A 27420-nucleotide genomic window follows, 5' to 3' on the forward strand; every position below is an offset into this window, starting at 1 on the left:
CACCAAGATCATGACCTCTCTGTGGCCTGGGAGAGATGGAAGATGCATTTCCATGCTGTGGTGGGGAGTTGGGGGTTCCCCTCTTTGGGGCCCCACTGTGAGGATGGTGGGGTTGGGCAGCAGTCCCACAGCCTGACCCTGCCCACTTGGGTGAGCAGGGCCCATGGCTGGTGTGGCTGATCTGCCGACGGCCTCATGCACTGTCCCCACGTGAGTGACTTCCCTGCCTCTCTGCAGTAAGCGTTCCCACCCCAGGGATGTGGGCTGTGGTGCTCCTGAGATTTGGGGAGGACAGTGGGGTGTCGAGGGAGGTGGGGCTATTCGTGCTGATGGAGGGGTGAGGGATGGGCAGGGTGGGCAGGGATGGGGGACTGGGGCGTTGCTCACTGTTGGGCCCTTGCTGGATGACTAGGAGCGCTGGCCACAGTGTGAGCCTGGGGCAGACCACTGGCTGCCAGGCTGTGGAGTTGGGTCAGGGCGGCTGTCAGGGGAGCGAGTGGGACCACACTGTCTGCAGCTGCCTCTGGGCCCATTGAACCCAGGTGCTGGGGAACTCGCCTTCCTGTGCGCGTGGGTGCTGGGGCACTCAAGCCTGCCGCACATCAGCCTCGTGACCTTTGCTCTCACTCAGATCTGTCCACCTCCTGAGCCTGCTGAGATCATACCAGGCCCTTTCCTTGTGAGCCCGCAGGCTCCACTCTGCATCCCTGAGCAGGTGAGGGCTCTTTGCCCTTCTAGGCCTCTGAGTAGAGGGAAAGATGGGCAGGCCTGCTGCCTGAGGGCTGGTTTCTCCCGCTTCAGGGTCCAGGGCACCATCATGGTCATTTGTTCTCCAGATGCTCATTGTCTCTTTTATGTCCCAGGCTGTGTGAGGCCAGCACAGACATAGACCGGCCCTCCTTTGGGTCTCAAGGGTGTGTCCAGGGCCGCTATGGGAGCCCCAGGGACTTCAGTGGCTTCCAGGAGAACACGTCCCAGAGGATGTCTACCCTCATGCGCTCATATCATTCACTCATTCACTCCCTCCCTTCTTCACTGACTCATTCATTCACTCACTCACATTCACTCATTCACTCACTATACATTCACTCACACATTCCCTCACTCATACATTCACTCATTCACACACTCACACATTTACTCATTCACTCACTCATCCACTCACTCACTCATCCCCTCACTTACTCATCCACTCACTTATTCACTCACAGATTCCCTCACTCATACATCCACTCATTCACACACTCACACATTTACTCATTCAATCACTCATCCACTCACTCACTCACTCATTCACTCACTCACTCATTCACTCATTCACTCACTCATCCACTCACTCATACACTCAGTCACTCATTCACTCACTCATCCACTCAGTCACTCTTTGGTCTACTCATTCACTCATCTACTCACTCATCACTCACTCACACATTCACTCACTCATATACTCACTCATCCACTTACCCACCACTCATTCACTCACCCACCCACTCATCCACTCACCCACCCACTCATTCACTCCCATCCACTCACTCACTCATCCACTCATTCATTCACTCATCCACTCACTCATACATTCACTCACTCACTCATCCATTCACTCACTCACTCATCCACTCACACATTCACTCACTCATTTACTCACTCATCCACTCACTCACCCACTCATTCACTCACCCACCCACTCATCCACTCACCCACCCACTCATTCACTCACTCATTCACTCCTATTCACTCACTCACTCATCTACTCATTCACCATTCATCTACTCATTCACTTACTCATCCAGTCACTCATACATTCACTCACTCACTCGTCCACTTACTCATTCACTCTCATCCACTCAGTCACTTTTTGGTCCACTTATTCACTCACTCATCTACTCCTCGCTCACTCACACATTCCCTCACTCATACATTCACTCATTCACACACTCACACATTTACTCATTCACTCCCATCCACTCACTCACTCATCTACTCATTCACTCACTCATCCACTCACTCATACATTCACTCACTCACTCATCCACTCATCTGCCCCATTCACGCACTCATTCACACACTCACACATTCACTCACTCATTTACTCATTCACTCTTTTGCTCACCATTCAGTTATTCATCTACTCATTCATCATCGGTTCCCTCACTCATCATTCCTCATTCATTAGTTGTTTATTCACTGGCTTATTAATTCATTCACCTAATTTTAACTCTTCAATTGTGGGAGGTGCCCCCAGACCCTGCAGGAAATTACAAAATGGAGAGATTTCATTCCCTTTCTTCCCAGGCTACTCTAGGTTTCAGCAAAGCCAGCAGCCAGATGTTGGGATAAGGATAGGTTAGTCATGCATAGAGTGGATTCTGTTGCCGGGCTTGGTGTGGCTTGACTGCCTGATGGAGTCACAGTGTGTGGCCCCCCAGCAGGACAGCATCCCAGAGAGGCTGGCCCCAGCCCCATCTGTCTGGCTGACAGATGACTACTCACCCTGCCTGCTCAGAGGCTCTTATCTTGAGCCTTCCAGGATAAACCCTGGCTATGTTGTTTCTGCCAGGCCCTCCTCTCCCTCCCTATGGCCCCCAGAGTGGCCTGTGGTCGGGGCACATGATGGGGAGGCAGCCACAGTCAGGCTGCCGAGGTTCAAGGTCCGGCCGGCCCCTTGCTAAGCTGCTGAGCCTGTCTGTGTCTCCACTTCCCTCTCTGTAAAATGGGAGCAGCATCGACATGCAGGGCTCATAGGACTGAGCCCTCAGGGTAGAAGTCCTGTCTCAAGGTCACCTTCATGGGCCCAGTGTGTGGCTGCCCAGTAGGTCATAACCAATGGCAGATGTTTGTTTAAAAGAGAGAGGAAGGTGTGGAGGAAGGGGTGTTTCTTCATCTCTGGGTGTGAGTGAGAAAAAGACTCTTCAAACTTGGGCTCTCCAGGGTGTGTGTTGGGATGCTTGGACTCAGAATTTTGGACTCCGCCTTGGGGCTGTTCCCACCTTTTGAATGTGAAACGTCATAGGTGGAGGTGGAGAAGTCCCCGTGGGCACCAGACCTGAGCTTTTCTAGTCTCAGTCAAGGAGGAGAGATGGCTTTTCCCTCATTTGTGTATCAGCCTACTTCCAGGGAGGGGGCACCGATTGAGCCCTGAGCTCTGTGTTGTACTTGGGATCCTCTTCTGATCTTGGGAAGGGATATAAGAGCCGTCTTCCCAGAGTAGATTGGAGCAACAAGGATGGTTGTGCTTCTGCAATGGGCACATCCTGGGAACCCCGGGCTCTGAAGCTGGACAGTTGAGGAGGGCAGGGTAGCAGGTGACAAGAGGGCAGGGGTGGTGGGCTCTGAGTTGTGCTCATTCCACCTGTCATTTTATTTCACTTTACTTCATTCATATTTTTTGGTCATTATTTTATCACATACTAATGTATCCATGTAATGGTAATTTTAACAACCAATGTGTATTCTCAGATGTGGCTGCCCTGTAACTAGATGAGCTATTCATGAATCTTTGGGCAATTTTGAGTTTGCACTTACAAATTCGTTATAGATTCATTTATAAATTTTTAGTCTTGGCCGGGCATGGTGGCTCACACCTGTAATCCCAGCACTTTGGGAAGCCGAGACTGGTGGATCACCTGAGATTGGGAGTTAAAGACCAGCCCAACCAACATGGAGAAACCCTGTCTCGACTAAAAATACAAAATTAGCCGGGCATGGTGGCGCATGCCTGTAATCCCAGCTACTCGGGAGGCTGAGGCAGGAGAATCGCTTGAACCCAGGAGGCAGAGGTTGCAGTAAGCCGAGATCACACCATTGCACTCCAGCCTGGGCAACAAGAGCAAAACTCCATCTCAAAAACAAAACAAAACAAAACAAAAAGTTAGTGGTTATGCTGGAGATTACAACATGTATCCAAAGTTTGAAGTTTAATATAAACTAGCACTTTACCACATCGTGGGCAGTATAAGCATCTTAAGACATTTGAACTCCATTTACCCACTCTTCTTACCCACCCCTGCTTTTTGTGTACTGTTATATAATTTAGCCCTCCCTGTCTTTTATATCCCATATGACATTATTAAATTGTTCTTTTGTACAGTTAATACTAGCAGAGAGTGACAATGACTGATGCATTTATCCTTTCCATTGCTTTCTGTTCTTTCTTGCGTTTCCAAACGTCTCACAGCACTTTCCCTTTACCTGAAGTTTTCCCCTTTGTATTCCATTTAGTACCCATTTGCTGCCACTGCTGTCTCTGTCTAAAGAGTCCCTATTCTTATTTAAAGAATAATTTTGCTGGATACAGAATTTGAGATTAATAGTTTTTTTCTTCATCATCACTTTATTATTTTTTATTTTTATATATTTATTTATTTATTTATTTTGAGACGGAGTCTTGCTCTGTGGCCCAGGCTGGAATGCAGTGGCATGATCTCGGCTCACAGCAACCTCTGCCTCCTGGGTTCAAGTGATTCTTCTGCCTCAGCTTCCCAAGTAGCTGGGATTACAGGTGCATGCCACCATGCCTGGCTAATTTTTATATTTTTAGTAGAGACGGGGTTTCACCATGTTGGCCAGGGTGGTCTCAAACTCCTGACCTTAAGTGATCTGCCTGCCTCAGCCTCCCAAAGTGCTGGGGTTACAGGCATGAGCCACCACGCCTGGCCTCTTCATCACTTTGAGATGTTATTGCATAGTCATTTTACATGGTTTCTGTTGAGGTCAGCTGTCAGTCTACTTGCTGCCCCTTTGAAGGTAGTGCCCCCCCCCCCCCCGCCCTCTCTTTGCTGAGTTTAAGATATTCTCTTTGTGTTTGATTTTTAGGAGTTTTATACTGTAATATGCCCAGGTGTGGCTTTCTTTGTATCTAATCTGCTTGGGGCTTTTAGCACTTCTTGAATCTATGGGTGTCTTGCTTCAATTTTAGAAAATGTGGTGGCATTATTATTATTATTATTATTTTAGAGATGAGGCCTTGCTCTGTCACCCAGGCTGGAGTGCAGTGGTATAATCATAGCTCACTACAGCCTAGGACCCCTGGGGTCCTGTGATCTTCTGATCTCAGCCTCCTGAGTAGCTGGAACTGCAGGCATGTGCCACTATGCCTGGCTGTTTTAATTTTTTTGTAGAGATGGGGTCTCACTATGTTGCCCAAGCTGGTCACAAACTGGGGTATTATTTTTATTTATTATTATTATTTTTTGAGATGGAGTCTTGCTCTGTTGCCCAGGCTGGAGTGCAGTGGCGCGATCTCGGCTCACTGCAAACTCTGCCTCCTGGGTTCAAGCAATTCTCCCTGACTGTAGCTAAGATTACAGGTGCTAGCCACCATGCCCAGCTGATTTTTGCATATTTAGTAGAGACAGTTTCGTCATGTTGGCCAGGCTGGTCTCGAACTCCTGACCTCAGGTGATCCACCCACCTCGGCCTCCCATAGTGCTGGGATTACAGGCGCATGAGCCACTGCACCTGGCCTTATTTTTAAAATAATGTTTTGATTTCATTATTTATACCCTCTTTTCCAGAACCCCATTTACACATAGGTTGGACCTTCCCCTTTGTCTTCTATAAGTTTTAAATTTTCTTTTTCATATGCATTTGTCCATGTTTCAGTTCGTTTATTTTCTGCTGCCTTCCAGTTTGCTAATCCTCTTCTCACCTATGTCTAATCTGCTGTTGAACTCAATAGATGGGTTTAATTTTACTTTTTAGTTCTAGATTTCTATTTGTTTCTGACTTCATAGATTTTAGTTCTGGTGAAATTATTTGTCCTGCTATTTTTTGGACCATACTAATTTTACACTAATTTTAATTTCACACAAATTTTAAAGTCTGTGTCTGATAACTGCAATATTTGGATCCCCTGGGAATTTGTTGTTATCGTCTCGTTTTTCTTCTTTTATTTTTATTTTTCATCATTTTGGTCTTGTCTCCTGATCTTCTTGGTCATTTTTTATTGCTGTGTTTAGAAATTATGGACATATTTGAGGCTCTGGGTGATTTTGTCTTTCACTAGAGATTTACTTTTTACCGCCTCTAGTAGGCAGCAGAATAAGAGCAAATCATATTAACCCCGTCTGGAATTGAACTGATTCAAAGCTGTGTTTCAGCCCCTGTGAGGGCTGGTTGGTCTGTTCTGTTTTATCCAGACTTCTAGTATACAGCCCTTCTGGAAGGGCTAATCTGAAAGCCTGCACGTCTACCAAGGCCTCTCTTCCTTGCCAGACTCTGGGCTCTGATTGCCATCTTCCCAGCCCTGTTAGACTGCTGAAGTTCTGCCTTGCTTCTCTGCTTTTAGTCTACTGCTTAGTGGTAATGCTCCAAGGCATTCCTGTCCTATAGAAATGTAATGTGAGCCACAAATGTGAGCCATATGTGCAATTTTCAGCTTAGCAGTCACTTTAAAAGTATAAAAGGAACAAGTGGAAGCCAGGCATGGTAGGTCACATCTGTAGTCCCAGCATTTTCGGAGGCTGAGGTGGGTGGATCGCTTGAGCCCAGGAGTTTGAGACCAGCCTGGGCAACATGGCAAAACCCCATCTCTACAAAAAATACTAAAATTAGCTGGGTGTGATGCTACTGGGGAGGCCAAGGTGGGAGGATTGCTTGAGCCTGGGAGGTCGAGGCTGCAGTGAGCCATGATCACACCACTGCACTCCAGCCTAGGTGACAGAGTGAGATCCTGTATCAAAAAACAAGAAACAAAAATTAGCCAGGCGTGGTAGCGAGCACCTGTGGTATCAGCTGCTCGGGAGGCTGAGGCAGGAAAATCGCTTGAACCTGGGAGACAAAGGTTGCAGTAAACCAAGATCGCACCACTGCACCACTGCACCACTGCGCTCCAGCCTGGGTGACAGAGTGAGACTCGGTCTCAAAACAACAACAACAACAAACAAACAAACAAACAAAACAAAAAGAACTAAAAAAAAACCAGGTGGAATTAATTTTAACAGATGGAATTTAGTATATCTAAAATATTATGTTTTTGATGTGAATCAATATAAAATTATCAATAAGATTCAAAAAAATCTTTTTTTTTTTGAGACGAAGTCTTGCTCTGTTGCCAGGCTGGAGTGCAGTGGCGAGATCTCGGCTCACTGCAACCTCTGCCTCCCAGGTTCAAGCGATTGTCCTGCCTCAGCCTCCCAAGTAGCTGAGACTACAGACGTGCACCACCACGCCTAGCTAATTTTTGTATTTTTAGTAGAGATGGGGTTTCACCATGTTGGCCAGGATGGTCTTGATTTCTTGACCTCGTGATCCGCCTGCCTCGGCCTCCCAAAGTGCTGGGATTACAGGCGAAAGCCACCGTGCCCAGCCCAAAAAATCTTTTAAGAAGATACTACGCCGCTGCCACGTACTGTGCACTTACAGAACATCTCAACCTGTACTGGCCTGATTTCAAGTGCTCATTAGCCACATGTGTAGCTACTGTTTTGGGCCGCACAACTTTAGTGGGAGAAGCAGTGCTGAGTGTGGGGTTTCCTTTTCTCCAGAAGAGTCAGAATGGTGGCATGAGGATGAATGGTGCTGAGGTTTATTTCAGGTATATGTGTGCTGTGTACCTGCCGTCTCGGTTGTGGTCCCCAAGGCTCTTGCCGCCAGTTCTGGGAGGTACTGAGGAGTCAGTTAATGGGATTGGGGTGCAGATGTGGGCAGGGGGGCCTAACCTCACCCCCATGCTGCTTTACCCTTCCATGGTCCTCCTGTGGCCCTGATCTCATGCTGCTGGGGCCATCTGTTGGTGCCCCCACTCCCCTGCCAAGCAGCCTGGTGCCATTCCTGGCTTAGAGGGACACCACAGATGTTTGTGCCTGGGCACATGTTTATTCAGTGGACATCTTGACCTGAGGCCAACACCGGCCTTGAATCCTAGTAGCCTGGCCTTCAAGGTCATCTTAGCTCTTGGTGATAGCTTGGGCCACCTAGGGCCTCTGGGGAGGAAAGGAAGTGAGGCCTAGGTGACTTCATTCTGGGCGTAGGCGTAGAAGACCAAGCCAGAACCAGGGCCTTGTACAGTAGCAGGCACCAGAATGCCCAGCCCTTCCTCATTGCCCAGAGCTACAGGTCTGGGTATTTCCCTACGTTGGGGGGGTGGGGTGGGGGGAAGGGCCTGCCTTCGAGGGGCCACAATATTCCACAGACTGTTAGACCCTCACCCACTGCCACCTTGGGGTGCCCTGAGCCTTTGAACCCTGTGTGGGGGCAGGGCAGCCGCAGGAAGACCCCAGTAGCTTGGCCTCTACAGCTGTCTCCTCAGAATTCTGTGGAACTCCACAGGATTCCACAGGCCTTGCCCTGGGGTGCCCCGCCTGCCCCACCCCACAGGAGCTGTTCTTGATGGTGGAGCTGCTAACCCTGCTGACCTGTGTCCCTGGTGCTATCCAAATCTATCTTTAGGTGTCCCTGCGGGAAGTGGCCATGGGGTGGGGCTGGCCCTTTCTAGAAACCAGATACATGATGTGGTCAGATGCAGGGGTGGCCGCCTGGCCTGTGCCCGCCGGGCTCCCAGTTACCTTGGGTGAGTGCCGATGTGTTCTCCTGGGGAGGAGCCAGGCCTGCAATCAGGAAAGTTTTTGTGGTGGGATGGCCCCATGGGGATTTCTCTTCCTCACTTGTGTGCCCACTGGGAGGGCCCCATTTTCATTTCATCCTGGGGTGGTCGAACCACTGCTCTGGTCCAGGGCCGAGGGTTCGAGCAGACATTTCCCCGTCAGGAAGTAACATCAGTGTTCCCTTGAGAACAGGAAAGGCCTCCTCCTTTGGGGCTGGCCCTGCAGTGTCTGCTGCCTGCACAGCTGCCTGTCCATGTTGGGGGTGTGTGTCTGGGTTGTCTGGCTGTCAGGGCCAGGGCTGCCCCGGCTTCCTGGGGTTTGGTTGTCCTGAGTTGGCTGCACCCCTCTGCCCCAGGGACCCCTTGCCTGGCTCTCCCTCTTCCCCCTGCCTCCGAAGGAGAACAGACGGGCGTGGGGAGCCTGGATGTGACAGGTTGGCTCTCAGGACTCATGCAGGGCCAGGGCAGCCTGCTGACCTCTGGCCTTGGAGAGGAGGGTGGCCACCCAGTGACATGGCACCAGGACTTGTGGCTGAGACCGGGGCCAGGCCTGTGTCCCTCTGCCCCTCAGCTGCCCGTGTTAAGCCCACCTGTAGACAGGAGAGGAGGGCACCTGGATGTCCCTGGAGGGGAGGGGCATGGGTTCAAGCTCTCTTCCTCCCTCCAGCCTGATGGCAGGTGCCTTGGCACGAGGTGGCCCTCTGACAAGGTAGCTTTCTGAGCCGTTTCCCCTAAATGTGAATGGTCTGTATCTACCAACACCCCCAGTCCCATTGGTCAACATGCCGTGGGCGGGGCTGGCCACTGTCCTGGAGGGCCTGTGGCAGCCCTGGGTGATGCCCGGCTTGAGTCCCTCCTGCTCCTCTCTTTCAAAAAGTGCACACAAGGACAAATGCTCATCAGTTCTTCTGACCACAGTAGGGATACCTGCATCCAAAAGTGTGGATATGGATCCTAGGGAGGAAGCCCTTTCCCTTTCCCCTCAGAGACCCCTAGTGTTAAGGATTAAGTGTGGATTGTTTCCAAGTTTGTCATTGGCTTTTAGCTGGTGGTCTTCATTTAAGGATGCTGGTCCTTGGGGAGACCCCTGTCCACAGAGGGCTGGGCAGGCGCCTACTCAGGGTAGTGTGGGCCGAGGCTTAGCCCATCTGGGACACGCAGTGCTGAGAGTGGGGTCGCTCAGGTGGAAGAGGCTATGTGGGGGCTCCTTTGCTTTTATGGAGCTCTAGGTCAGCCCTGCAAGCTTTAAAACATTTATTTGGAAATAAAACACCCGTATGCCATGTGCCCAGCTCCACCTGTTGCCACCAGCTTGCCCACCTGCTTCCTCGCTTGGGCTCTGTCATTTCTGATCCAGGTGAGTGCAGGTGCAGATGGTGGCACTGGCCTTGGTGCCCTGCCCTGGAAGCCTGGAGAGTGCAGGCGCATCCAGGCCCCACCCTGCTTAGCGCCGGGCTCCTCCTGGCTGGGACATCACCTGGTGTTGGAGGCCTGGGGACCAAAGGGGATCCTCTCTTCCTCCAGGACAGGGTTCCCTGGCTGCAGGGTTGTTGGGGAGGGAGTCTTGGTTGTTTAAAGTGGTTCCCCCAGGGTGTGAATGAGCATAGGTCCTGTCTGCTTGATCTGCAGTGGGCCAGGCCTCCTCTGGAGGCAGGTGTACCACCCAGAGCCCACGAGGGTGTACACAGGGTGCATATTACTTGCTGAGGGCTGGACACTGTGGGGGATGGGTGCTGCTATCTGCCCACTACACAGATGGGGAGCTGAGCTCAGAGGCAGGGTTAGTGTCTGAGCCTAGGTTCCACCCCGTCTCTCTGATTGGAATAGCTTTTCCTGTTCTGTCCATGCTGCCCAACACCAGTGCAGGACGGGACATGGTAGGAAGGGGCCGAGGGTGAGGTTGGCTGTGCCAGCTGCGGTTCTGGGCAACTCTACCTGTCAGCACAGCCGTGCACTAACCCTGAGGAGACCTCCGACCTTTCCTGTTTTGTGAAGGGGGATGGGGCCCAGTGAGGTAGAGTTGATGACCCTGCAGCCCAGCCAGGAGCTGATGGGCAGAGAGACTAACTGGATGGCGTGTCACTGCTGTTGTTGGGCAGAGGGTTGGGTCTCCCTGAGGCCCTAGCTGGGGAGACCTCCATGGGGTGGCCTGAGGAGGGGGCTGGGGGCTGTCCAGCCCTGGTGAGGTTCCTGTTGGAAGGAAGGACCACATCTGGTCTGTGGACTGTGAGGCTTCAGGTCCCGGGAGAGGCTTTGTGGGTGTGGTGGGCCCGGGGAGTGGGCACCTTGGGAAGGCTCCTGCCTGCCCGTGCTGCCCCAGCATCAGACCCCAGGTGGTCCACAGTCCTGTCAGCTGCACCCTGTCATGGTTCATTGCCTCAGGGGTGCCTGACCCAGCCTGGGTCCCCCTTTGGTCCTCTTCTTTATCTTGGCCTTCATGGCTCCATTCTGTGGTCCTGCCCTCCTCCTGGGCTGCCCACCCATCCCTGCCACGTGGTGACAGCTCCACTAGCATCCCATGGTGGCCCTGTCTTTGCCCACGATGGAGGGTATTGGGTGGGCCTGGGGTGGGGAGGGCTCCTGCAGCCTGCCCTGTGACCGGAGCCCTGCGGTGGGGAGGGCGGGGCCCAGCACAGAGGGCCAGTCCCAAAACTGACCTGCCGTGCTCATGCTGGGCATGGGGGCTTCCTAACAGGCAGGTGGGTGGGGACCCCCGACCTTCCCTGGACCTCCCCTTGCTGCTGGCTCTTATGCTGGGTGCTGGCATGGGAAGCCAGTATGGACCGGGCACCACCCCCATTGCATGTGTTCAGTAGAACCTAGAGGAGTCCCTGGCATGGCTGCCAGCTTGTCCCGGGGAAGGACAGCTGAAGTTTTGTACGTGCTCAAGGGAGCATGGAGAGTTTGTGACAAGGCCATGACAGACTCTCTCCACCCGTCTACTGGCTGACAGGATCAGGCTTTCTCAAAGTTCAACATCCGCACACCAGAAGGTGGACAGAACGATGCTGGGCCTGCCTCCTTCTACATATGATTTACAGTCACCCATGGACACCCCAAGTAATTGGCACAAGAGCTCCATCTGGCTCAGTAACGGAGGCACTTTCAACAAAATTAGTTATCCCTTTGCTTTGGTCAACTATGCACTGCTAATTTATGATAGTGATTCAGTTCTGAAGAAAATCCTTTGGTCCTTAGAGTCTTACGTTCGCAGGAAACTAAGGAAAGCTAGATTCCGATAGGAATGATGTGATGGCAGGGAAGTGTGGCAGGGCAGTCAGTGAGAGGCTTTCGGGAAGAGCCGCGTCGTGTCCATCACCTCCGTGGGAATGGAGGTTGCGTCCTGGTTGGAGCTGGAGACGTGTTTATTCCCGTGTTTAGAAACAGCTGGTGGAGGGCATCAGATTGCCGACATTTGGGTTCCACGGGAAACATTTCAAAGAACATTTTTAAAAAGTCAGTATTTATAAAATGCTGGAAATGGCATCTTTTACAACTGTTTGACCCTATGATGACACATTTTACATCCCAACTTACCCCTGGGGCAGGCAGGCACCTACTTCCTTCTGTGTGTGGGTGACAGGGTGAGTACCGGTGTGTATGTGCGGGCGGCAGGGTCCCAGGTGGCCTTTAAGAGAGTAAAGCTCACTTGGCACCTTCCCCTGCTCCCTCTGCCCCTTCCCACCCCCTTTTTTTGAGGCAGGGTCTTGCTCTGTGGCCCAGGCTGGAGTGCAGTGGCAGGATCTTGGCTCAGCTGCAACCTCTGCTTCCAGGCTCAGGTGATTCTCCCATCTCAGCCTCCCAAGTAACTGAGACACCAGGCGTGTGCCACCACACCCAGCTAATAATTCCTCCCTCCCTTTTTAAATAAAATAGTATGATTTACAAAAGCAACCAGGGGCCAGATATTCAAGTTCAGGTTTTTGCCTCAGAGAATTGTAAACTTCTTGGAGCCCTTGACAAAGAAGACTGAATGTGGGAAGAGTCCAGTGCCGCCGACTCACCCCCAACTGAGCACCTCCTTCCCTGGCTGCACTCATCCAGATGGAGGGCAGCATCTGGGACAGGTCACCGGCGTCAGGGTCCCTTTTCTGCAAAGAAGTCTAGGGGCACATCAGCCTCCGTCTGTGACTCCTCACACTCCTTGGCCACTTTTATTTGGTGGTGTCGGGAAAAATGTTCATCTTTATAATGATGTCCTTTTTTTTTGAGACAGAGTTTCAGTCTTGTTGCCTAGGCTGGAGTGCAATGGTGTGATCTCGGCTCACTACAACCTCCACCTCCCGGGTTCAAGCGATTCTCCTGCCTCAGCCTCCCGAGTAGCTGGGATTACAGGCGCCTGCCACCACACCTGGCTAATTTTGTATTTTTAATAGAGATGAGGTTTCACCACATTGGCCAGGCTGGTCTCAAACTCCTGACCTCAGGTGATCTGCCCGCGTCGGCCTTCCAAAGTGCTGGGATTACCGGTGTGAGCCACCGTGCCCAGCCGTGATGTTCTTTTTAAAATCATGAATTAGAAAAAACACACACTGGCTCACCTGTCAATGCGGTTGTGTATTTTGTTGCTCAAGATGAGGTTAAAGAGGGAACTTGGATTTAAAGGAAGTGAGTTTGTTTTAAGACCAGCAGAGAATGTTGGAGGCAGCAGGTGGAAGAGCTCTGTCAGGCCTCCCCTTTGCTGGTCAGTGGCAGATGCCTGGTGTGGACATCAAAATGGCTCCACTGAGCCCACTGACCACTCACTGCAGAGCAGGCCCAGTGCCTGCCTCTTGTCCAAGTGGCGCCCCGTTGCCTGGCCCTGTAGTGACATAAACCACCCACTGCTCAAACATCATGCCTGCACAGAGGCCACTTCCTCCAGGGACCTCAGACCTGCCCGTGCCTTAGGTGGGGTGGGGAATGCCTTCTTCCCCAGGCTGCCTGAAACTGGAGCTTTTCTTCGGGGGCAGGGGTGCCCTGACTGGTAATTTTTGGCACAGTGTGTAGTTGCATATTTATTGGTTTTCTCATCTGTTGGCTGCGTTCCCATGGGGTTGTGAACAGCCCTTTCCGCACACCCAGAGCCTCCGTGACTGAGCGACTCCAGACAGAGCATGGGGGATGGTGTGGCTTGCTCTGCACCAGCCATTCCTGTGCACTTGCCAAACCCTGTCCTCCTGGAACCAGACCCAGACCCTCTCTCCACTTTGTGGTGAAAGGGCAGGCAGGAGCCTGCTGGCCCCCAGCTTGGGTCGACTGGTTCAAATCTTCCAGACCTGGGAGTAGCAGGGAGGCTCTTCCCACCAGGAGGGCGTGGAGTGTGTGGGGATGCCAAGCCTCCTAGAGCAGTGGGGACACCCTCCCGGGGGTGGAGGGAACAGAAGGGGACACATATATGGTGGAAGTCTCATGCTGTCTTCCCAGTGTGTCCCTGTGGATATCATGGCTTTTGGGTGTGAGCACTTAAGTGACAGGGAGATAAGTCCTTGGTTAGGCCTGAGCTCTACCAGAGACCTGATGCCCTCCCATCCTGCACCTGGGGCCTCTGTCCTGGGCCAGTTCTCTGTGCATGGGACTATTGTGGACAGAGAAGCTCCAGGCTTCCTTTGGTTTTGATTTACGGCCCCACGGAACTGGAGCGAGGCCCTGCAGCAGGCTTATCTCTCGGGGCTCAGCCTCACTGGTTCTGGGCACTCTCCTCTGCCCGAGTGTGCGTGGGGCTCACCTCCTGGTGGGACCCAGTTCTGCCCCTTCAAGGGGTTGGATTTTGGGGTCCTGCCTAGCTGAAAGGAAGATGCCACGGAATCCCAAGTGTGCCCCTAGTAGGTCTGACATCTCCAACCGTTGCCCACTGGGGACTGTTCTGGCAGAGCAGGTGGCCCTGAAGTGTCATAGGAGGGGGCTGCCTGCAGACACCCTGCCATGTTCAGGGCAGGAACCTCTGATGCTCTCAGTCAACATCGAAGGCAACCCCTGATGTGTTTCCCAGGTGTCCTGGGGGTGCTGGGAAGGGCCGTTGGGACCAAGAATCTTCTGACCACCCTGGCTGTGTGACTCGTGCAGCCCTTGAGGGGCTTTGCTGCCCGGCTTGGAGGGTGCTGTCCTGCCTTGCCTGTGTGTGACCCACAGGACCTTTTTCCTAGAGCAAATAAGAGCTGGCATTGTCCCAGAATGCCTTAAGTCTTTTGTCATCTGATTGACTTTCACCACTATGAGGGAACAAGAGCCATGAATTTGCATAGCACTGGGGACTTGGTAGGAGGAAGATTGGTGCTGATTGACCTTACCCTCCAGTGTCTGGGAGGGAGGGGCATCACATTGAGTGAGCAGCCAGGAGGCCCCCGCCTCTGACTCAACACCAAACCTTTAAGCACCGTGTGAGTCTGGCAGGATTTGGAAATCACTTAGGGATCAGGTGCATTCTTCCTGCCCTGGCTTGTTGACTGTGAGCCTTCCTAATAGGTTAATGAATGAATTCAGTCCACAGGTGTTCATGGAGTTGCTCCTGTAATGCAGGCCAACCCGATGTCAGCAAACAGGTGATGAGGATGTGGACAGGCTCTGTGGGGGCAGCATACCCTGTAGGTGGGCTCTGGGCAGGGCTCAGAGGGGGACACACTAACCGACTGTTAAAGTACCAAGCAGGCTGGGCATGGTGGCTCACACCTGTAATGCCAGCACTTTTGGGAGGCCAAGGCAGGAGGATCTGTTGAGCCCAGGAGTTCAAGATCAGCCTGGGCAACATGGTGAGACTACCATCTCTAAAAAAATAAAATTAGCCAGCGTGGTAGCATGTGCCTGTAGTCCCTGCTACTCAAGAGGCTGAGGTGGGAGGGTCACCTGAGCCCAGGAAATTGAGGCTGCAGTGAGCTATGATCACACCACGGCACTCCAGCCTGGGTGACAGAGTGAGACCCTGTCTCCCCTACTGTAAAAATTACCAAGCAATGTGTTACATTGATTAAAATAGTCGTGTGGTGTAGAATATAAAATGAGATCCTCTTCCCTTCCAAGCCCACCTCTAAGAGGCACCATTGTTAACCATTTCTGACTTTCGTGTCTTACATGTATCAACTTCAGTAGGTAACTGCTGTTAAAAATGAAGACTGTAGTGCATGCAGGGTACGCCCCCCTACTTCCCGTTTTTTCTTAGTCATTTAGAACGTGAACATTTTGCTCTGAAACTACAATGAAATCTTTTACACGTTACTGTTGGTGCTAAAATACTGGCAAAAATAACTTGTGCTATAAATGATCCTGTGAGTTTCCTCTAGAATTAAGGACTAGGCGCACAGAAAGGGAATTGTAAACTGACATGCTGTTTCCCAGAGAAGGCTTCCTGGGCGAACTGGCCTAGCTGAGCACTGCCATCTCCTCTCCAGCTTCCTTCACCCCCAGGGACCTCGAGGGTCACCCTGGGTGCATGTCTTTCTGTTGTGTTATGTTGTGTTGTGTTGTGTTGTGTTGTGTTGTGTTGTATTGTGTGTTGTGGAAACATTTCTTCCAGTAACTTGTTCCACCTAGACTGCATGGGAAGTTAACTTTCAGCTCCTGCATGTCTGAAAACGAGTCTGGACCGCCTGGCTTGGTGTCCGTTTGACAGCGTGTAGAATTCTGAGTTAGCACTTTGAGGACACTGTCCCTGCCACCTGCGCCCAGTGTCTCTGGTGAGACTCACCGCCCACCTGGGCCGTTCCTTTGCAGATAAGACTTGCTCGGGGTTCTGACATTACACTAGAACAGCCCTGGAGGTGGGGTGTTCATTTACTCTGACCTGGCCTTGGTGGGCCATTTTCTTCTAAATCGTTCTCCTTCCAGCTCAGGGAAATGCTATTCTACTATTTGTTTATACTTCATGGTGTCTGTTCTTAGAACCCTTTTGACATAGTTTGACTTCCAGGCAGTTCTTCCATGTCTCTTAATGTTTCTCTTCTATTTTCTTTCTTCTACTTCTCTCATTTGGTCTTTGGATTTTTTTCCTTTTTTTTTGTTTTTACATATGAAAAATTGAAGGGTGATTTACATATAATGAAACACACAACTTAAGTGTGCAAGTTGAGCTCTGACAAATGCACATAGAGGTGGAGCCCACGTGCTCTGTTATGATGTGGAACATTTCTCCATCACCCTCCACCCCAAGATCTCTTGGCTCCCACTTCTACCCACCCCAGAGGTAACCATTATTCTGATGGCATCCCCCAGATATTAGTCTGCCTTTTCCAGGGTTTCACATGAAGATGGGGGTCCTACCAGACATATTCTTTTGTTTGGCTTCTTTTGTTCAGTCCTATGCTTTTGGCCTTCACCTGTGCTACTGAGAGGCAGGAGCATGCTCCTTTTTGCTGCTGAGCCATGGTCCCATTTGGATGGGTGCGGCATGGTTCATTCACCTGGCCCCAAATGTTTCGGTGGTTTCCAGGTGGGTCTATGATGAATTATGCTGCTTCCAATATCCAAGTCCATCTTTTATGGACTTATGTTTTCCTTCCTCCCAGATGGATCCCGGGAGGGGAGTGGCTGGACACAGAGCAGGTGTGAACCCTGCCAAGCCCTCCTCTGAGGGCTGCGCCACCTGAACTCCTGGTAGCAGTGTGCCAGGTGGGGCCCACTGTTCCCCAGCCTCCCAGCAGCTGGAAGTATCCACCTTTTTTTTTTTTTTTTGAGACAGAGTCTCACTCTTGCCCAGGCTGGAGTGCAGTGGCACAATCTCGGCTCACTGCAAGCTGCACCTCCTGGGTTCATGCCATTCTCCTACCTCAGCCTCCCGAGTAGCTGGGACTACAGGCGCCCGCCACCACGCCCAGCTAATTTTTTGTATTTTTAGTAGAGACGGGGTTTCACCATGTTAGCCAGGATGGTCTCGATCTCCTGAGTTCGTGATCCGCCCGCCTCGGCCTCCCAAAGTGCTGGGATTACAGGTGTGAGCCACCGCACCCGGCCGTATCCATCTTTTAATTTAGCCCTTCTGGTAGGTATGGGATGTATCTCAGTGTGGTCTTTGTTGGCATTTTCCCAGCGACTGATGATGCTCAGCCTCTTTCCGTGTGCTGTTGGCCATTTCTGTGTCTTTGGTGAAGTATCTGTTCATGTGTTTATTATTAAATTACAGGAGTTCTCTATACATTTTGGATCTGAGTCCTTTGTCAGATATATGTATTAAGAATAGTTTTTCCCAGTTTGTGACTTGACTTAAATAAATAACCATTTTTTTGGAGATGGGGTCCTGCTGTGTTACCCATGCTGGTCTTGAGCTTCTGGGCTCCAGCCATCCTCTGCCTCAGCCTCCCGAGTAGCTGGGACTACAGGTGTGAGCCACCGCACCTGGCTTAAAGAATCGTTTTTGATGAGTAGAACATGTTTCCATTTTATTGTCTGGATTAAACATTAACTTTTTTGTACTTAATGTTTCATTGGATTATGGAATATCTTATTTCTAAAACACTGAGCTGGTTAGGAAGGGCAGTCCCCATCCCTGTGATAATTTGCAAGAGCTCTTTCTCGAATGTTCCTTTCTAAATAGAAGCTTGATTTTACTTACTTGTGTCAACTTATTGAATCTTTATGGGAACATTAATTAGATTTTTTTGGGAGTTGCCGTTGGTCTCTGAATTATTTGTTTTCTGGGTTGGCCCCATCATGACAATGGCTTCTCTGGGTATTGCCTGGCCCTGTGGTGATAGTCACTGCACAGTCCCACACTGCAATGAAGGGGCCCATGAGGGTGTGTGCTGTGGGGAGGGGTCTGGCGGGTTGATGGAGGAAGAAGGGTCTCATGGGCGCGGCTGCATTTGGGATGTAATTTTTTTTACCAAGATGACCCTTGTCACGATCCTGCCGCCTGCTTCTCCTCTCTGCTTTGGAGTCTGGCTTGATGTTCTTTGGGCCTTTCCGGAAGGATCCAGGGGTCTTGGCTTGCATTTACTTTCACTCTGATCTCTCCCCTTATCTGTCCAGATTTACCTGCTTTCTGTCTGTTTAGAAGTCCCCGGAATTTTGCTCTTCTGTGTTTAGTTATGTTTCTGGTTTCCTTCGGAAAATACACGTTTCTTTTCTGACATTCCCATGGGAATTGGTGCAACAGAGGCAGGCATTGCTCTGTGGGCTCATTGGACCAAGATGAGGAGGTGATCCTGGGGGCAGGACCTCAGGTGGAGGTGAGAAGGGCGTGGCACGTGTGCAGCAGGAGAGGCCTTGGCTGGGCCTTTGGACATGGCTGTCACCTCGTGAGGGGAAGTTGGAAGCACATGGAGCCTTCGGGGCCATGCAGGCTCCCTGGATTTATTCTGAGCCCTCTGTGGAGAGAATCTATTGAAGTATTTGGGGGAAGGGAAGGGCCAGGATCCAGGGGGACTATAGTGAGGGATGAGGTGGGAGAGAGCGTGGCGAGGGATGGGTGAGCTCAGACAGGGTGGTGGGAGTCAGAGGGGAGAGGTGGAGATTGGGCAGGCGGCGGGAGGGTGGCCAGTGCTGAGTGGTGTTTGAATGTGGTGCCTGGGGTTGGTGGTTCCCTTGTGGGATGGTGGGCAGAGCGGGCATGTGGTGCATGCACCTGACCAGGGTTCCCGGGTGATGATGGTGGCGTTTGTTTGCTGTTTTCTATTTAAACTTAGGTCAGTGATTGGTTCTGCTGGCTTGTGCAGACACAGTGGCCCAAGGGTCTGGGGAGGTGTCTGCTGTGTCCTCCTGCACAGGAGGGCCTGGGCTGCCCTCTGGGCTGCTGACTGGTCAGTTTGGCTCTGCTAGGGCTTTTCTCTTCCCTCCATTCTCAGCTCTTATCTCAGTCACCTGTCCACGTCTCCTCTGTTCTAATCCACTGGGCCCTGAGTACTTCTTCTGAGTTGTGTATACGTTAGAAGTAAACTGATGATCCATTCTTTTCACAAACACACAGAAAGTGAGTGATTGTGGAGGAGGCAAAGGCCTCAGAGGTGTATTTTTGGAAAAAGTGCTCAAGTGTGGCCGTGTGGATTTGCGAGACCTCTTCGGCTTCCTAGGATGTCTTTTTGCTGAGGTCCCTTTTTGGGGGCTGTGTCCAGGGTTGTGGGGACTAAGGAGTCAGCAGTTGTGGTGCCAGTGTCTGCATGCCCTTCTATCATAGCCGCTTAGCTGCCTGTGGGTATGGGAAGGGCTGGTCCTACTGTGTGGCGCTGCTGGGATGTGACGCCACCGTGTCCCCTTCTGTGTCCCATCTCTTGCCCACTTAGCATGTCTCTTGCCCTGTAGGACCGGAAGCTCACCAAGCTGGAGCGGCAGCGGTTCAAGGAAGAGGCTGAGATGCTGAAAGGCCTGCAGCACCCCAACATCGTGCGCTTCTACGACTTCTGGGAGTCCAGCGCCAAGGGCAAGCGGTGCATTGTGCTGGTGACGGAGCTGATGACCTCAGGGACGCTGAAGACGTAAGCTCCGCTTCCTGAGGGCTGGGGCGGGTCCTGGCATGGGTGCAGGGCTACCATAGCTGAGGGTGAGGTCTTGGGCTGCTGGGGTGGTCCTGGCTGGTGCCTGTGGGAGGCTGTCTCCTCTTTCCTCTCCTGCATGGGATGCCAGGAGGTGGTTTACTTCCCAGGGAGATGGTTGATCTGTCTATGGTGTCTGGGACTTGTTTCTGGCTGGGGTTCTGTTTCTGCCTGGGAGCCAGCCCGGCACATACTCAGGCTCAGGACGCAGGCTGGGCGGGGTGCACAGTGGGGACTGTGGGATTCTGAGGATGTGGAGGTGGTTAGTGAGGGCTGGGGAGTGGGGAGTGGGGTGGCCACGGCAGCCTGTTGCTGCTCACTAAGGTCCCAGTCTGTACTGTGGGGATGAGGTGCTGCCTGGTGCTGTATCCTGGGTCCATCTGAACCACTGGACCCTGCAGCCTTGGGCAGGGCCTCAGTGCCCCTCAGCCGGGCAGTTTCCGTCATAGGTGGATGCGCTGCAAGAGGAGAGCCCTTTTCTTAGCTTCACCCACCCACCTCCTCCCAGGGCACAGCTCAGGGCAGGCCACACAGGTGGCCAGTGGCAGAGAGAGCCCCAGCTGGCCCCTGTGGTTCTCACAGGCCCTGGCCTTTCGTAACCCTCACCCCCTCACCTGAGCATCTGCTGGCTGGTACTCCGTCCTGCCTTGGGCAACTTACAAGTCAGCCTGGCACCATCTCCCAGTGAGGTCAAGATGGAGCTTAGTATGAGCTTTAGTAGCCAGGTCCTTGGCATGAGGGGAGCAAGAGGGTTGTGAGCCCACCCAGCTGGCTGCTCAGGGGCCTGGCTCCAGGGCGGAACTGTCCGGCCCTCCCGTCTCACCTTCACTACCTGTCACGGGTATGTGCCGTGTGCACGGGAATGGACTTTGTACCAGGCCTAAGCAGTGTTAGGTGGGGGCTTTGCTAGGGGGCCGCTGCCGGCGAGCTGCTTGGTGAGCTGTGCCCGTGAACCCCTGCAGATACCTGAAGCGGTTCAAGGTGATGAAGCCCAAGGTTCTCCGCAGCTGGTGCCGGCAGATCCTGAAGGGCCTGCTGTTCCTGCACACAAGGACGCCACCCATCATCCACCGAGACCTGAAATGTGACAATATTTTCATCACCGGACCAACTGGGTCTGTGAAGATTGGCGACTTGGGCCTGGCCACTCTGAAAAGAGCGTCATTTGCCAAAAGTGTGATAGGTAAACCTGCTTCTCCTCCCCAGGCCCTTGGAGCCCATGAGAAGCTGGGCAGCAGTGAGTGCTGGCGAGCATCCAGTTTTGTTCAGACCTGGTGCAGGAGACCCAGTGGGAGGAGCGTCTGGGCACGGGAGCCTCGGGCCAGGGTGTCTGGGCTACCCCACCAAGCCTTTTGTAGCTCAGCTGGAGGGCCTGCCCACTCGTTGGATTCCCAGACCACTTGGGCTGGGATAGCTGACTTGGCTGCCTCCCTCCCCTGCTGCCCCTGCCTTGTCCGACTCTGGCCCCAGATGGTCTTTGTGTTTCCCTCCGTGGCTGTGGCTTGGGTGCCAGCTCTGATTGTCTAGCAGGGGAGGTGGGCTGGGTGCCGATGCTCGTGGTGTGTGTGGGCACTGTGGGCACTCGGGAGAGGGAAGCTGCCCTGACCACAGAGGAACTTGGGAGGTTTGTGGCCAGTGACGCTGGAGCTCCCAGTGTCACCCGGGCTGTGAGGCCCAAGGAAGTGAGAACTTGGAGTATCTGGGGAATCCACATACCTGCGGGGCGGGGCACAGAGCAGGCGTTGTGCACAGGATAGGAGCAGGGCGCCAAGGAATTAATTCAGCTTCTTGGGCATTTCAGGCCTCAGTACAGACGCCCTCCTGTGAGAAGCCTTCCCAGCCTTCTTTTGGGGCGAGATGCCGTCGCCCCTAGGGGCAGCTGGCCCGGAGCTTCTTTGCAGAGACCAGGGGTCTGCGTTGTGCCATGTACCTGGCCCCAGGTGTGCTCCTGGCACAGTGGGTGTGAAGTGTCCACTGGTCCTGGGTGGGGGCCTCCACGGACTTTGAAAAGAATGCCTGGGTGGCTGTGGAGCAGCTGTTTCTGGGGCCAGGATGATGGGAAAGCTGCAACATGTGCAGGGCAAGCAGCGTGGGTCGGGGCTCAGGAAGCCCAGATGGCACCCAATCGGATCAGATTGGGAGAGGCTCCCCCATGTTAATGAAGACCCAGCATGCCCCCAATGTGAGGGCAGGACAGTGAGCAGTCGATCTTGGGGCTTTGTGAATTCTTAGTTCTGCTGCATGTTTGGGGACAGAACTTGGCAGGTGTGGGGAAAATGAGACTCCAGAGCTGCTTTGGTTTGGGAAGTCTGTTCAGAATGTGACATCTGGGGCAAGGTGGCTGCCCGGGGGTGGCCCTGTGTACACAAAGCCTCTGGCATTCTGGGGGAGCTGAGTGGTGGAGCGTAGGGGCTGACCCAGGGTTCAGTTTCCCCATCTGTGAAATGGGTATATAGGTGAGGGTCTCCACTCCCTCCTGGAGGGGCTGAGAGCAGGGGCCCAGGACCGTGGAGAGCCCATGCCCAGGGCTTTGAGCTCTGTGCACTTTCTGGGCAGATTTTGCAAATTTGGCTTCAGAAGTGGTAGGAACCCAGGTCTCAAACCCCGGGCGCAGTCAGGTGGCAGGAGGGAGGCTTGTGATCTCCTACTCAGGAGTGAACACTCCTGGAGGAAGAAGCACAGCCCACTGTGAAGCGGCAGCCCCGGCAGAGCCCCTCGTCTTCCTCTGGCTGGGCGGCTCTTTGCCCTCTTGGAAACGAAGTTTCGAGTTGCTGGATCAGGTTGAGATGAAGGCCAGGTGTTTCCAGCAGGCACAGTGGGGAGACCTTGTGACCCGCATGGTTGCCCAGCTCTGTGGGCTGTCCCTCGTCAACCCAGCTTTTGCTCAGCTGGAGTCCAGGAAGCTTTGGTTAGAGAGGCCACAACCAGGAGTGTCCTCAGCTGCTCAGTCTCCTAGAGAATGAGGCTGAAGCAGGAGAATTGCTTAAGCTCAGGGGTTCGAGGCTAGTCTAGGCAATGTAGTGAGATCCCTGTCTCTACAAAAAAAAAAAAAAAAAAAAAGGCGGGGGAAGGAAGGAAAGAGAGAGAAATAAAGAAAGAAAGAAAAGAAAGAGAAAGAAAAAGAAATTGGCCCGGCATGGTGAACACCTGTAGTCCCAGCTACTTGGGAGGCTGAGGTGGGAGGATTGCTTGAGACTGGGAGGTCGAGGTTGCAGTGAGCTGTGTTCATGCCACTGCACTCGAGCCTGGGCGACAGGGCACGATCCAGTCTCAAAAAAAAAAAAAAAAAAAATTGCTAGTGCAGCAAATTTTCAGTATAATCATGTGGTTAAAAAACCCAAAAGAATAAAAGTTCCCGGCGTCAGGCCCCTCCACTCAGCTCCTGTTGTTTCTCATGGGTTCTTCCAGAGTTCTGTGTGCCTAAGACTGAAATCTAAACCATATTCTTGTCCCAATTTTTATCCAAAATGTTAACTTTAAAAAAGAGTGGCCAGGCACAGTGACTCACACCTCTAATCCCAGTACTTTGGGAGGCTGAGGCGGGCGGATCATTTGAGGTCAGAAGTTCGAGAACAGCCTGACCAACATGGTGAAATCCTGTCTCTACCAAAAATACAAATAAATTAGCCAGGCATGGCGGCAGACGCCTGTAGTCCCAGCTACTTGGGAGGCTGAAGCAGGAGAATTGCTTGAACCTGGGTGGGAGATGGAGGTTGCAGTGAGCCAAGATTGCACCATTGCACTCCAGCCTGGGGGACAGAGTGAGATTCCGTCTCAAAAAAAAAAAAAAAAAAAAGTAACACATTTTAAATTGAAATGACGGGTAAACAAAACGTGCTTTTAAAATGCACTAATTAGTTAGCTTGAGCTTTTAAAAAGAAACTAGAAATTTTGAAGACCTTCCAAAGTCAACAAACATCCAGACGTTAAAAGCAGCTGTACTGAAGTCTCTAGTCCCTTTCTTTGCATTCAGCGCGACAGACATGCAACCGGACTTATTTTATTAAAAAGGCCTTTACAGTTGCTGTATTATGAAAGCTAAAGCTTATTATAGAGAATAGAGAAACCCCAGACCAATATAAGTAAAATAAAAATCAGCCCTCGCCCCCTGCAGACATCATCTTGCCCTGGGGGTTTGGTTTTGCATAGGTGAGGCCAGCCAGCACGTCTAGCCTCATGCTCATTTTGCTCAGCCTATCATAACTTTGCCATGTCCTTAAAAATTCAGTGAAGACACTGTTTTTGCATCTCTTGTGTTTAGGAGCCACATACAGTTCCCATCTTAGCAACTCTGTGGTTCTGTCAGGTGGGTACCATTTTCTACCCCACCCTCATTCAGGGACACTGTCTTCAGTGATGCTGACTGTTGTACATGCTGCGTGACACTTGTAGGGGTGGGCTGAGTGTACCCAGCCTTTCCCCACTTTGGGACATTTAGGGGTTTTGTGGCTTTAGGTAGCTCCGTAGCAACCCAAGTTCTTTCTGCTCCAGGGTTTCTGAACGTGGCTGCGGCCGAGCCTGTGGCAGGATCATAGTGTCCACAGGCGAGGGCGTACTCAGGGTTTTGCCTCCTTCCAGGCTCGGACCCCGTCCCCTGGGAAGTCATAGTCTCCCAGCTTATGAGCAGGGGATGGCTCTGTCACCTGATTTCTAACCCTGGACTCCTGTGGTTCCAGGTGGAACTTTTGGAACCCTGTCTGTAAAGCACACCTGTGTCCCAAGTGAGGGGCAGGGCTGGCCCTGGGGTCCAGGTGTTCTGAGTGTGCCATGGGATGTGGAGGGGACATGGGGTTCTGGGCAGCCAAAGCTCCCGGGACACTGGCTCCAGCTCTTCCTGGGCCCGTGGCCAGCTGACAGCTGCGTCTGTTGCTTCCGGGCACAGGTACTCCCGAGTTCATGGCGCCCGAGATGTACGAGGAGCACTACGATGAGTCCGTGGACGTCTATGCCTTTGGGATGTGCATGCTGGAGATGGCCACCTCGGAGTACCCCTACTCGGAGTGCCAGAATGCGGCCCAGATCTACCGCAAGGTCACCTGTGTGAGTCCACCTGGCCCCTTGGTTAATTAATAAGGACACAGAGGCCTTGGGCCGTACCCTGGGCTGGGCTCCATGTGGCTCTGTAAAGCCATCCTGGCAGCTGTGTAAGGAGCTTGGCCATTTTGCAGAGGGGGAAACTGAGGAGATTGGCCATTTTACAGAGGGGGAAACTGAGGCTTAGTAGCGGGGTGGTTACTCAAGGTCTCCTACCTGAAGGGATGGTGGTGCATGGGGTGCTGTGGGCAGTGCTTACCCATGGAGGCTGTCGCTCTCACAGCAGGGATGGTGGGGAGACTGAGGCTCAGAGAGGCTGGAGCTTCACCATAGCCCCCTGCCTGGAGGCGTGCCTAGGCCACCCATCCCCAGTGCTCACACTCTGGGCCGCCCATGGCTGCCTGCTTTCCTATCTTCTTCATTTTGAAACAATGGTTTGATTTCTTTTTCAGCTAAACCAGTCACTCCTACACCAAGTGTGTCTCTAGGCAGTCGTCAGCGCCAGGCAGCTGGGAACGTTAATCCCTGTTTTGCTGTCGCTGTGATTTTTTTCTTTAATCGGACGGCTTCAGCTGCATAAACAGATCTGTCTTGTCCTCCCTCTGTGGTGGCCCCACTGGGTGGAGGGAATGCAAACAGAACATCTGGAAATGGAATGGCCAGGCCAAGGCTTTCTGTGCCTGTTTTCTGCACCACCCGTCTTGTTGTGAAGCCCAGGGGCCTGCAGAGCTGTCCCTGACATGCGGCGTCTGCACTGAGGGCCCAGGCTGCCCTGATCCCTGCAGTCCCTGCTGTCTCCACATGCCACCTGACTGGGTGGGGCCGCGCTGCCCCTCAGTGCTGCTCTGCGGGGCCATGGCTGCTTCTGCAGGTGCACCAGGGGCTGTGGTCCTCAGCAGCTGCACAGCCTCACTCTGACCCATCCCTCCATCCCGAGCCCTCCTTGCAGATTACCTGCATTTCTGTCCCTTGGTTGTTGTAAATCATCGGTCACTTGGTTGTTCTGAGCCCCTCCTGTGTGCCCCTGAGGAAGTGGGAGGGCAGACAGAGTCCTTGACTCACCTGTGGGCCTGGGTCAGAAACTTCACAGACAGGTGCACAGTTTTCCGTGGGTACTGGAAGGAGTGTCAGGACCTGCTGGCTGTGTGCAGCGGCCCTCCAGGGAGGCAGGGATGGTCTGCAGCAGGAGGAAGTGGGGCGCTCCAGAGATTAAGAGCTCCATTTGCCAGGCCTTGGGGTGCTGGTGTGGGATGGGAGGGCCCCTGGGTTCACTGTGGAGGGTGGATGGTGGTCTGTCCTGAAGCTGTCCCAGGGGCTGGTGGTGCTCCTCGACCCTGGGGGTGTACACTACTGGGCAGAGCCCTTAGGTTCTTCACTCCTGTGTCTGCCCCAGGCTGGGGGCTCCAGCACCCAGGGCAGGTGGGCGTGCCCCCACCCTCCTCCCTGACCTTGGGAAAATTTATGCTTTATGTTCTCTATATTAAGAGTCAGGTGAAGCTTTTGAAGGCTAAATCGTGTTGAAGGAGAAAGAACGTGATAGTTGGTACCCTCATTGTGTTTAAAATTTTTTAAAATTAGTTGCTCATACACCGTCTTACTCCACTTCCAACACAAAACAACCTAGCAGATTGCAAGCAGCACCTGGCCCCGCCCTGCTGCTTCTGAGTCCGGTTGCAGGGCTTGCCCTCTGCTCCCTTCATGCACAGCCATCAGCTGGGTGAGGAGCCACTGTCCCTCAGGCTGCCACCCGCACCCCCCCGCAACAAAGCCGCATGGCCTGGCCCTTGGCCAGCAGCAGTGACCACAAATAGTGCTCCTGCACCCTCAAGGAGGAGGTGTGGGGAGGAAGCCCAGGTGTGGTTAGAAAGGCCCGGCTCTGTAGGAGGCATCCCATCCACCGCATCATGGCGCTGCCTCTACTAGCCTCCTGGAACAGGGGCCCTCGTGGCCCTACTTGGGAGGCTCGGTGAAGCTCTGATCAACACCTTTCCAGAGACTGACTGCTGCATTTGAGGTGTTAACCCCAGTATCAAATTCTGCAGCTGAGGTGGAGGTGTGCAGTGTGTTGTGGCCGGGGTGATGGTGGCTTTGACAGAAGTAGGGTGACCCAAGAAGGTTCTGAATGGTAGGAGACCAGGCTCCTGGCTTCAAGCAGTGGGGAGGGGAGATTTGGAAGGGAATTGCAGCGGTTTCACAGAATTCTTCAATTTATTCCCAGCTCGGCTTTATCTCGCTTCATCTATGGGCTTAGAGTTTCCATCAAAGTTGTGAAATTTTCAGCCATTATTTCTTCAAGTCTTTTTTTATGTCCCCTTATCTTTTTTGGGATTCCAGTTTTATGAATGTCATGTGCATATGTGACCTTGGTAGCATTTCAGATTCTGAAATGAGCAGAATAGAGCCTCAGTG

At 52.6% G+C, this 27420-nt stretch overlaps 1 protein-coding gene across 51 annotated transcripts in view; it reads left to right on the forward strand.

The window, feature by feature from the left end:
- The window catches only part of WNK2 (WNK lysine deficient protein kinase 2), a 136431-nt gene that overhangs the window by 25810 nt on the left and 83201 nt on the right, over positions 1-27420 (forward strand). For all 51 annotated transcript variants that reach the window (NM_006648.4, XM_047423745.1, XM_047423751.1 and 48 more), the window contains 3 exons: positions 19748-19920; positions 20940-21160; positions 24860-25017. In NM_006648.4, coding sequence (NP_006639.3) covers positions 19748-19920; positions 20940-21160; positions 24860-25017 — 552 coding nt within the window. The remainder of the gene's footprint in view (positions 1-19747; positions 19921-20939; positions 21161-24859; positions 25018-27420) is intronic.

This window comes from Homo sapiens, chromosome 9, assembly GCF_000001405.40.
Source record: "Homo sapiens chromosome 9, GRCh38.p14 Primary Assembly".
In the NCBI taxonomy this organism is placed as follows: Eukaryota; Metazoa; Chordata; class Mammalia; order Primates; family Hominidae; genus Homo; species Homo sapiens.